General features: G+C 39.6%; 1 protein-coding gene and 1 pseudogene across 1 annotated transcript in view; one reads left to right on the top strand and one right to left on the bottom strand.

Moving 5' to 3' along the window:
• UPP2 (uridine phosphorylase 2) overlaps positions 1–1,473 on the bottom strand; it is a 140,976-nt gene extending 139,503 nt beyond the window's left edge. Inside the window, exon 1 of the mRNA NM_001135098.2 lies at positions 1,393–1,473. Coding sequence (NP_001128570.1) covers positions 1,393–1,453 — 61 coding nt within the window. The 5' untranslated portion in view covers positions 1,454–1,473. The remainder of the gene's footprint in view (positions 1–1,392) is intronic.
• On the top strand, positions 10,758–10,863 carry RNU6-932P (RNA, U6 small nuclear 932, pseudogene; annotated as a pseudogene).

The following is a 12,410-nucleotide window of genomic DNA, read 5'->3' as shown; positions in this document are numbered from 1 at the left end:
TTGGTTTTCAGGCTGTTTCTTCTCTAATTCTAGAAAGCTCTAGAAGGCCATAGTAAATCCTCACAGAATACAACTAAAGCATAAAAATAACTTTCAAAGATTTATAATTAGCCGGAATAATTTTCTTTGGGATCTAATTCTTATTTACAAGTCATTTTAGAGACCCCAAATTAGGCAACAACATTGCAACATGACTAACACTGACTTCAGATTGGAAAAAAGCCATACATTTATTCAATAGGGAGTAAACAAGTTCTAGGGAAATATGTGAGAGAATAAATTAATAATATCATTTAGCAAGAAAAAAGAGCTCAATAAATATTATAGCCTAGCTTAAAAAAGAAAAAAAAGTATGTTTAGGCAATAGTTGTATCTCCTCACTAAAGGTATGGTAAGCTAAGATATAGCCAAAGCTATAGTAAACCAAGAAAAGCTCTTCTCTCCAGTGGAGAGAGGCAATGTTGCCTCTACAATCATGTGGTCACAGTGTGTATGGTAGAGTGGCAAGGCATCTTCTGTTCCCCTTAGTCCAAAGTATGCACCTTGGTTGATAAGCAGCTAGAAGGAGAAAACCAAATAGATTTAGATCTGAACTTTTAAAAACAGGTTTATGCAAACAGGCATTCCCACATTGAGCTGGGACTATATACTGGTAAAACCAATCTTGAAGACAATTTAGCAATATATATCAAGGGTCTTATGAGTGTATATGTCCTTTGAATAGGATATTTCACTTTAGCTTAAGAAAATAATCAGATTTTTTTACAACAATGGACTTCATAGAAAAAAAAACACAGGAAATCATTTAAATGACCAAAAAAACTATTATAGCTTTTTTTCAAAACCATTAATGCTCAGTATAAGTAGGAAAAAATCCAGATTACAAAAAATTATGCCCACCATTTTCTATTTTGTAAGTCTGTGTATGTGTGTGTATGTGCCTGTGAAAAAAATGCAGAAAGACTTAGAATAATTTTTCTGGGGTCTTTCTTTTTGTATTTTCAATTTTTTTCTATTTTTTTTTAAAAATTATGTATTAAAGGGATCGTTAGAGTGGTCAACTACCTTAAAGAGTATTATGAATTCATGGTTTAAAAAGGTGATTGAAAATAAGGCACCAGTGTAGGGCTGTTCACATAGCATGTTTTTCTAAAATAACCTCTTCCATCGTCTGTAGTAGCTACCTGAATTTCAGTGGGCCTAGCTCTAAAAAAGTTGAGAAATTGTACCAATATGTGTTGCATCATCCCTTAATTATTTGTGCCAGTTGATGGAAGCTGAAATGTGGAAAACATCAACCACATAATTCAAAATTAATTTGTACTGAGACTTGGAATATGACCAGACACATGTGCTTAGACATGAATGTATTTCTCCTCTTCCCTCACTAACCTTCAGGCCTTGTCCTCACCACTTCTTGGTCTGGGTCCAACTCACAGCCTGGGGCCAGCATGGCAGCACTGGTGAAGTCCCTAGGAATAAAAAAAATGTTTGAGAAAAGAGTGGTGACAATGACTGGGCTCTGAATTGTGAACATTTACACGTGTAAATGCAGAAACACCCATATACGATCATCCACATATTAATTTTCCACCTAGACTCATTACTTTTCCATAACTCTGATGAAAAGGGGAGTTTTATTTGTGTAGAATCTTTCCGATTTGGTGATAGTGGTGACTGGAATAATAGTAAGAAAAGATATCTTGGCAGGACTGGCTACATCATTTAAGGGACCCAATGCAAAATGAAAATGCAGGCTCCTTGTTCTAAAATGATTAAGAATTTTAATACTGAGACAGCAGAGCATGAAACCAAGCTCAGAGCCCTTCTAAATTCAGGTCTCTGTGTGACTGTACTGGTCACGGGCCCATGAAGCCAGTCCTGAGTTTTAGAGTCAGGTAGATATGGGATCAAATTCTCGATTTTTTCATTTATAAGCTGAGTATCTTGGCTAAATTATTTAAACTTTCAAAGTTTCAGTTATGCAATCTTAAAATGGGAGTGATGTGAGTGTGGCATTATTCTCAAGATTGCTGTGAGGATTAAAAGAGAGAGCATTCTATTAGGTGCATACCATAGTGCCTGGCTCAGGGAGACTGTTCATCTTCTCTATGTTGTATACTGCAGTTAGAGTTTGATATAGTTTGAATATTTGTCCCCTCCAAATCTCATACTGAAATTTGATCCCCAATGTTGGAGGTGGGGCCTAGAGAGAGGTGTTGGGGTCATGAGGATGAATCCCTCACAAATGGCTTGGTGCCATTCTTGCGGGATTGAGTGAGTTCTCACTCTTAGTTCCTGTTAGATCTGTTAAAGAGTCTGACACCTCCCTCCCCACCCCTCTTCCTCTCTCTCTCATTCTCTCTCTCTGTTCTTTCCCTTTACCATGTGATGCCTGCTCTCCTCTGCCTTCCACCATGAGTGGAAGCTCCATGAAGCCCTCACCAGAAGCAGACGCTGGTGTCATGGTCATACAGCCTGCAGAGCCATGAGCCAGATAAACCTCTTACTTTTACAAATTACCCAGACTCAGGTATTCTTTTATAGCAACATGAAACAGTCTAAGAAAGAGTTCATATTCTAAAGTGCAAACTTGAAAGTTTGATATGGTTTGGCTCTGTGTCCCCATCCAAATCTCATGTTGAATTGTGACCCTATGTGTTGGAGGTAGGGCCTGGTGGGAGGTGATTGGATCATAGGGGTGGTTTCTGATGGTTTGGCACCATCCCCCTAGTACTGTCTCATGATAGAGTTCTCAAAAGATCTGGTTGTTTGAAAGTGTGTAGCACTTCCCCCTTTGCTCTCTCTCCATCTCCTGCTCCGCCATGATGAATATATGCTTGGTTCTGCTTCATCTTCCGCCATAATTTTAAGTTTCCTGAGGCCCCGCAGCCATGCTGCCTATACAGCCTGCAGAACTATGAGTATATTAAATCTCTTTTCTTCATAAATTAGCCAGTCTCAGGTAGTTCTTTATAACAGTGTAAGAACAGACTTAATAGAGGGTTTCTCCCTGATTTAAGATTATTTTTGGTTATCCATTATCTACGAAACAAAATGAAAATGCACATTATGACATATAAGGACCTTAACTATTCAGGTTTTATCAATCTCTCTAAAACTTGCCACCTACCACTCTCACATATGTTCAAAGTATAATTTGTATTTATTTTCACTTTTCCTTAAGAACCAGTAAATATAATAGGCATAGATGACAAATAATAAATTAGCATGTGCCAGGCACTGTGCTAATCATTCTGTGGGAGGGAATACTCATTCTCCACTCCTGCTGTTTCCTCCCATGAGAGAGAGCTGCATGAGCTGTAACATTCCTGGATACTTCCACCTCCTCATTTATCCTCCCCTGGCAAGGATAAGTTGAGAGAATCTGGGTATTTGTATTCCAGCCTCTTTCTCTTTTGGTAGCAACTCTCACAGGGAGCATGATTTTAGGCAAGCTGTAAGCATAGTGGCAAAGACCTTTTCCCGGTGGAACGACCCATTGTCCAGGACTACCTGATACCAGTTGGTGAGCCTGTCTATTTCTGGTATTCAGCGTCAGGAAGCCTAAGTTCTCCAGTGTCAGCTTTATCAATGATAATGGTCTCCTGCCTGCGTTACTCTTGTCTGTTTCTAAATTGGTTCAGAACTTGGGTGGGGAAAATGGGTATTATTTACTGAGGATACGTAAGTATCCCAACAAAGTCTACATTCATTGTCTCCTTTATACCTCAGAGCTACCATATGAGGTAAGCATATCTATCATCCAATTTTTATAGATAAGGAAAGTAAGGATTAGCAATCAAGTAAGTGGCATAATCAAGATCTAAACAGTTCTATCTGATGCCACAGATTATGCCCTTACATTTTCCCATTTTGTTTTTGCATGAAGGTTTAATAATAAACTGATAAGAACATTCAAAATTTGAGTTCATGTTGAAAAAAAAAAAGCTAACACAGTATTATATGCAGTGTACTTATATTCTATCTGGCAGAAAAGTTAGCCAAGCTAAACTTAAATTCAGCACATGCTGAATTTTATTTTAGGGAGAACAAGCTGCAATCATAATAAAGAACTGTATTTACAGCTAACAGCAATACCCACGTTTCTCTATAGGTCTTACACTACAATCTGAAATTGCATTTCATGATTTACAAGGTCTGAGACATAAACAGTAAAAGGTATGTTTCTGGGAATTTTCTCATTAACAGCCACAAAACAAGCAATTTTATGTGGAATTGCTTTGTTCACCTTTTCTGAAATATGTGCAAGATCTCTCTTTGATGTTGAATCCATTCTGATTTGAACATCTCAATATTTTTGATGTTCCATGAACTCCTCCACACCCCACCTATCTCCGGGAAGCTCAGACCTCCCTACCTACTTGGTGAAAAGAAGGAAATTTAGAACATTTGAGCTCGCAGGCTGCCTACTTAAGACTACCCGAAGAATGAGCTCTGCTTACCCCTGTTCCTTCGTAGGTACATGAATGAGTCGTCAAAAATTCACTAATAGTTGATTAATGCAGTTGTGACAGTATGAAAAACAACAAAAGGAGTGCAGTGCTGAAGAAATTCTAGATCTTGCAGATTTAATGCATCCACTTATATCCATAACTCAATCCCTTTTCATATGACACTAGTTATTGTTGTTACTGTCTTCCATAACCATTCCTACCACGACTCCAGTCCAGGCCATACCCCCTTCTTCTTGTCACAAGAACATCAACACTCTGCAGTCTTTTCTTCTTTATCATGTCTTCATCCCTCCATACTTTGCTCACCAAGATGTGTTTTTCCATCTGTCATATTTGTCTAATCCTGTTGATTTAATGCACTATATTTCTACTAAGAAAACAGTACATACAAAATACTCCCAAGCATCTAACTACTTTTAAAAATATAGATCTTTCTAAATTACCCATATGTATTGCCTGACCTGGCATCTCTCTCTATTTTCATACAGTGCTCAGCACTCCTGATTAATTGTCTCTTTAATATTTTATCCAAAATTGCACTGGGAAACCAAGAAAACAGGACAAAGGAATGTCATTTGTACTTTTTGTAATCTTCATTATTTACCAAATGTATTTTTCTTATAACCACCTTTGTAGTACTTCAAGATATGCCTAACAGGCACTGTTAGCTCTTTTACAGGCCTGTGGATAATGGAAAGTATGGAGAATCCTGGCTTGGAAAGGCAATAAATAAGGTTATTTTGACACTACTCTCTATTGGAGGAATTGTGATTGTTTTTGATTTTGTTTCTGTTTTGAGAGAAGAAGCTTGCCTAATGGCAATCCATAAGACATTCTGGAGAACAGTTATAGATTCAAAATGTGAGTTTTAGTCTACTTGAATGTAGCACCTTGTTAACAAAAAGGCTTCACTTTTATTGCCTCACTGATAATTCACATAACCTGCTGACATAGTGCTATGGTCTGAATGTGTGTATACCCCCAAAATTTGTATACTGAAACTTAGTTCTCAAGGTGATGGTGTTAAGAGGTGGGGCCTTTGGGAGGTGATTAAATCATGAGGGCTCTGCCCTCAAGAATGATGTTAGGTACCCTCTTAAAAGGCCTTGAGTAAGTGAAGTTTGGCTCTCTTGTTCTTCCACCTCCCACCCCGTGATATTGCAGATTTCACAACAACAAGGCACCATCTTGGGAGCAGAGAGCAGCTCTCCAAACATTAATGCTAGCACCTTGATCTTGGGCTTCTCAGCTTCCATAATTGTAAGAAACCAATTTCTTTTCTTTATAAGTTACCCAGCCTAAGGCATTTTGTTATGGCAGCACAAACAGACTAAGACATATAGAGTTCATGGTGGCCACTTTTTAAAAAAATGTACAAAGAACTTGAGGCACTGAGAGGCAAATGACTGGCTCAAGAACATGCAAAGCATGATCAAGTAATTTTGAGGTATACATTTTTAATTCAAACTCCCTTGGTAATCTGATGGTGAAAAGAATTTTCAATTTTCAAATTTCCTAGACTACATGCAGGAGAGAACTCAGGAGCATGGCACCAACTTATTTTGTCTTATGTAGAAGGATATCTGACTTGAGGTTGAGAATTCCACATCAGAATCTATAGGCCTTTTCCCCTGCCCAGTAGAGTTTAGTTGCCTACCTTCAATCTCTGCCAACAGCAATCCTCTACCCCTCTGGTTTAAGCAGGCTGTTCTAAATAGTTGCCGGTGGTTACCGTGGTAACAGACGCTTAGGTTTCAGCTTCGAATGCCCCTTTTAATGAGGCAATTTCAAGAATATCTGTGATAAATTACCAGACCACAGACTTCACTGCAGGGAGTTTTGCTTTGGAAAATCTAATAAAAAGACAGCAGAAAGAATGAGCAGTAAATGCAACAGAGAAAATGGGGCCAGATTTGGAGGGGCAAATGGAAGAGATGCCAGATCTGACTACCAAAAGCCAAATCAGAATCAGTTCAAACCAGAGCTTTAAATTATAAACGGTCCCTGAAGGGCTTCCTGACATGCTGAGCCAAGATTCCTTGGGAGGAGGAATGGTAAAGTGAGAGGTGGTGAGGGCAAGAGTTGAGTATGTCCTGCAGAGGGCTGTGTATTTTAAAGCTTCCATTTTCTATTTTATCATTAATTGTAGTGGCTAAATCAGAAACGGTCTCCTTTTGTTTCTCCATTTCTCCATGTATGAGACCAAGAGACATTGCCACCTGGAGAGGACATAATGAACTAAAATGTGGACTTTCGCCTAAGTGAATTTCACAGCAACCTAGGTTATCCACATTTCCCAAAGACATACCTGACTTGATAATGGTCCAGGATTCTGTTATTAATCTCTTATCCATTGTACCCATTAAAAATTTCACAGAAGGGTAAACGTACTTAAACACATTGCTACACTATTGTGTGGAAAGAAACATCTCCTAATTACCCAAAGGAAGACATGTCATTCATCCTTGTTATGATTGAATATAAAAACTATGCCTCCACTATATAAAATAGCTTCAGTTTATACTTGGTTGAAGGCAAGAGGGTAGCCTAAAAGAGCCTTCACTTACACTGTAAGTGCCTTGCCAGGCTCCCTAGGTCCCTTCAGGAACATCTTACTCTCGCTGCTCACGGAAAGCACCAGGGAACAGATGCATTACAGTTTGTGACAGGAGAACAGCCTGTGGATTCCGCCTACTCCCTCCAGTCCATCTGGGAGGTGGGTGAGACAGGGAGCCCACAGAGAGGGGGGCTCTCCTGGGAATCCCTCAGGGTACCATGGCTATTGGTGCTTTATTTTCAGTAGATGGCACTGTGTCTATTGAGATAAGCAAAGGGAGATTCTAGATGGGAAATTTAATTGTTTCTAGAGAAAGCACAAGGCATGTGAGAATGCACGGTATTTTATTTTTGCCTTAGTTACATGATAACGCAAATACTATTCAGTATTCAGGTTACATTCTCTTTGGAGCCCATGGAATTTTATGATTTATTATTCTGGCTCCATCTTAGGCCTGTGGTGAAGCCCAGGGCCATCCTATACAGTATATACTTGGAATAAGAATAAATCATGCTGAATGTTCACCTCTGTTACCCAACACATACAGCAGCACCTATACTCCATCTGTGCCCTGGATCCCCACCTGTGCACTGGCTCTCTCCCTTTTTCCCAGACAGGAAACTCTGCCTGGAACCCAGGCAGTTCCTGCCTGGAACCCAGGAGTTTTTACACCCCAAGAATGAGACAACCAGAACAGTTTCTTGCACACTGGTGGTCCCATGGAGCAGACATTCTCCTTTGTCCGTCCATCCTTTTTCTTTTCTAATAGACATCCAGTTATTTTTTTCCTCTCTTCTGAGTATTTCCAGGAGAGTAAACTCTAGCACCAGAAGATGAATCAATTTTTTTTTAATTATGCTTTAAGTCTGGGATACATGTGCAGAACGTGCAGGTTTGTTACATAGGTATACACGTGCCATGGTGGTTTGCTGCACTCATCAACCCATCATCTACATTAGGTATTTCTCCTAATGCTATCCCTCCCCTAGCCCCCCACCCCCAACAGGCCCTGGTATGTGATGTTCCCCTCCCTGTGTCCCTGTGTTCTCATGAATCAATTTTATTTTAAGCCATATGTAGTCTTTTAAATGGGAGGAGAGAACCTCAAGTATGTTTCATAGAAAATGAACTGTAGACACAGGATGGAAGATGGAGGACATATGGGCCAAACACTAGGTGATGCACTTAATATAAAACTCTTTTATTCCTTATGATAATCTTGAGATAGATATTTTGCTACCTGTCTTACAGATGAGCAAATGGAAGTTCAGTAAGTTTAAATAATCTACCTAAAATCATCCTCAATATTGACTGGGCATATAATGAGATTCTAAACTTTTGAGTAGTTTGCTAGAATACTTCTGGAAAGGGACTTGCATGGAGAAACTTACTTCTGTCCATTGACATTATCTTCTGAATATGACCCCTGGAACTGCAGCAGTCATCTTGAGACAATTATGGAAGGACACCTAAGAGAACAAGATAAAAGTCCAAAGACAACAGAGCAGAATGATAGAAAGAACCTGGAACCTTGATGATACCTTTTGAGCTGCTGATTTAATCAACCTTCAAACTTCAGATGTATGTTTTAGCCACTTTGAGATATGTCTTCTATTACTCATAGCCTGAAATACCCTAAACAATACTACCTAAATACTCTAGCCATAGATGACTAGAAAATGTATTAGTGCCTGAGCCATAGGCAGCCATCCATAGGATGACTGCTGAGGAGGTAGGATATGAAAGTTCACTCATCCAGGCATCCAAATTGGATAATATCTAATGAAACCAATCAGATCCTTTCTAGGGGCATCTGAATAAGACAGCATTTTCCCTGTCTCCTCAGGAACCTTGCTCCATCAATTAACCCATCTCTCCTGTGTCTTCAATGTTTTTTCCTTAAACTAACACTTTTTTTTTCTTTTCTTGAGACAGAGTCTCACTTTGTCACCCAGGCTGGAGTGCAATGGTGCAGTCATGGCTCACTGCAGCCTCGACCTCCTCTTGGGCTCACATGATCCTCCCACCTTAATCTCCTAAATAGCTGGAACTACAGGCATGTACCACCATGCCTGGCTAAGTTTTTGACTTTTTTTTGTACAGATGAGTTCTCACTGTGTTTCCTAGGCTGGTCTTGAACTCCTGGCCTCAAGCTTTCCTCCTGCCTCAGCCTCTCAAAGTGCTGGGATTATAAGCATGAGGCACCACCTAACTAACCCCTTCTTAAATACCGTTTAAGTTTTTCCTATTAAAAACAAACAAAACATCCTTTGTCAAATACAGAACTTCTTCCAATACCACTCAAAATAGCTCCTCTCTTTCACAGTCCACTTCTTAAAATAGATGTCTCCAGTTTCTATCCTTCAAGTCACTCTTCAACCCATTGCAATTTACACCTGCAGTTCCCCAACAGGACAGCTGCTCTTATGGACTTTACAAAATAGTAAGAAAATAGGTTGTCAATTGCTGAGTAACACACTACCTCAAAACTTAGTCATTTAAAACAACAGACACCACTGATTATCTGCCATGATTCTGTGGGTTGACAAGGCTCAGTTAGACAATTCCTCTGTTCTGCACAGAACTGCAGTCACCTGGAGGCTTGACTGAGCTGGAACATCCACTATGGCTCATTGACATGGCTGGCAGATGGTGTTTGCTTTTGGTTGGGAACTCAGCTAGAAGTTAGTCCTTCTCCTCCTGGCCTCTCTACATGTGGGCTTCTCTCAACATGATGGCTGAATTTCAAGAGGAACAATTTCAACCTTGTGAAAATAGAAGCTGCTCAGCCTCAGAAATTAAAGAACCTCACTTCTGCCACATTGGTCAATACAAGTCCAATCCAGCCCAGATTCAACAGAAAGCAAATAGACTTCACTTCTTGATAGAGAGAACAGCAAATAATTTACAGCTATCTTTAATGTACCACAGTTATTAATGAATTTCTTTATTGTTAAATCCAATGAAAACATTGTAGTCCTTATTTTCTGTGGCACCTTGATTCTGGAAATACTTTCTTCCTTCAACTTTCATGACAACACACTCTCCTGCTTGTCCAGGCACTTCTAGGGCTTCTCCTTCTCTTTTTTGGGAAGAATCTTTTCCTCAAAGTCAAATATTACTGTTCCTTGGAATTCCATCCTTCTTCTTCTTCTATTATCACTATATTCACTCTTACTGGGCATTCTAATAAACTTACTAGGCTTCCATTACTATCTACATACTAATCACTCAAATCTATACTATACTCACAGTTCATATTGCTCACTTTAGTTTCAAATCTAGATATCGCACTCTTTATTGATCATCTCTAGTCTCCATTTGAATATCCAACAAGTATCACAAATTCAAAAGGTCTAAAACTGAGCTTGTTGCATTTTCTCCCAAAGCTCCTATTTCAATGTTATCTGTTTCTATGAATAGCACCATATCCCTTCAGTTACATGATGCAGAAAGCTAAACATTTTTCCTCTTCTATTTTCTTCAACCCTACATTCAGTCACCATAGCTAGTTAATATTATATCTTTAACATTTTTCAAATTTGTCGTCAGCCTCTGTTCTCTAACACTTCAGTATTGAACTCCAGTTTAGACTACTATCATCTTTTATCTGTTTACTCCAGCATCTTGTATCAGTCTTCTTACCTCCACACTGGCCTCCTCTTTAATCCATTTTTCATGCTGTCAGAGTGAAGTTTTTAATGGTAAAATCGGATTACATTGTGCTCAATTCAGCAACACATATACCAAAATTAGAACAATTCAGAGAAGACTAGTATGGCCCTTGTGCAAGGATGACTTAAGATTTGCAAAGCATTTCATATTTTTTCTGTATCCAAGGGCACACAATGTACTGGAGATGATCAGTAAAGAGTAGGATATCTAAATTTGGAATTATGTATTATAATTTGCATGACAATAACAACAAAAAATGAGGGGAAAGGGGATGGGCTATATGGGAACAAAGTTGTGTATATTATTGTAATTAAGTTGGCATTAACTTGAAATAGATTGTTATAAATTATGATGTTGTAATTCTAACAGCAACCTGTGATGATTAATTTTATATGTCACCTTGACTGGCCTAAGGAATGGGAATGCCCAGATAGCTGGTAAAGAATTATTTATGGGTGTGTCTGTGAAGGTGTTTCTTGACAAGGTTAGTATTTGAATCAACAGACTGAGCAAAGAAGACCCACCCTCATCCATGTGGGTGGACATAATCTAATCTGTTGAAGGCATGAATCAAATAAAAAGGCAGAGGAAGGGTTAATTTTCTCTCTCTTCTTGAATTGGGACATTCGGCTTCTCCTGCCCTCAGATATTGAAACTACTGGTTCTTGGGCCTTTGGACTTCAGGACTTCCAATGCCTCCACAACTCAAGTTCTCAGGAAATAGAGTTCCACCAGTGTACACCCTACACCAGGATTAAAGTTTTCAGGACTGGGACTTATGTCATCAGGTAGTCTTGTTCTCAGGCCTTTGAACTTAAATTATACCACTGACTTTCCTGGTTTCCCAGGAAATATGCAGACAGTATATCATTGGACTTCTTGGCCTCCATAGTTCCATGAGTCAATCCCTATAATAAATCTCCTCCTACATATCTCTATATAGCCCATTGTTTCTGTTTCTCTGGAGAACCCTGGCTAACATACACCCACTAAGAAAACAATTCAAAAATAGCACAACAGAACACTAGGTAGAGTTCTAAGGTTTTTTACTCTAGTTCTTGGTGCCTGGATGGCCCCCCGACCCACACAAGACCTGGGGGAATTTGCTGCCCTGAAGAGAAGGACATAGGCCTGGCTGGTTTTGCCAGCTAATGATTGTAGAGCCCTAGAGCATTGAGTGAACATAAGTGGTAGCCAGGGAGTGGTTACAGCAGGCCTTGGGCCAGACCCAGTGCTGTTCTCGCTTTAGGTCTGACCCAGCACAGTCCTAAGGGTGGTAGCCACAGGGGTGCTTGTGTCACTCCATCCCCAGCTCCAGGTGGCTCAGAACAGAGAAAGAGAGACTCTCTTTGTTTGGGAGAACGTAAAGGAAGAGAAGATGAGTCTCTGCCTAGTAATACAGAGAATTCTTCCAGATCTTGTCCAAGAACATCAAGGTAGTACCTCTATGAGTCTGCAAGACCCAGAGCATTGCTGCCTCCTAAAGCAGATACAGCTTAGATCACAAAACCCTAGTCCTTTCAAATAGCTGGAAAGCCTCCCCAAGAAAGATGGGTATGAACAAGCCCAGACTGTGAAGACTACAGTAAATACCTAACTCTTCAATACCCAGACTCAGAAGATCTACAAGTATTAAGATGATCCAGGAAAACATGATCTCACCAAAAGAAGCGAATAAGGCACGTGGGACCAATCCTGGA

Source organism: Homo sapiens, chromosome 2 (genome assembly GCF_000001405.40).
Source record: "Homo sapiens chromosome 2, GRCh38.p14 Primary Assembly".
Classification (NCBI taxonomy): Eukaryota; Metazoa; Chordata; class Mammalia; order Primates; family Hominidae; genus Homo; species Homo sapiens.
Note: the sequence above shows the minus strand (reverse complement) of the source record. Positions and strands in the feature narration are given on the sequence as shown.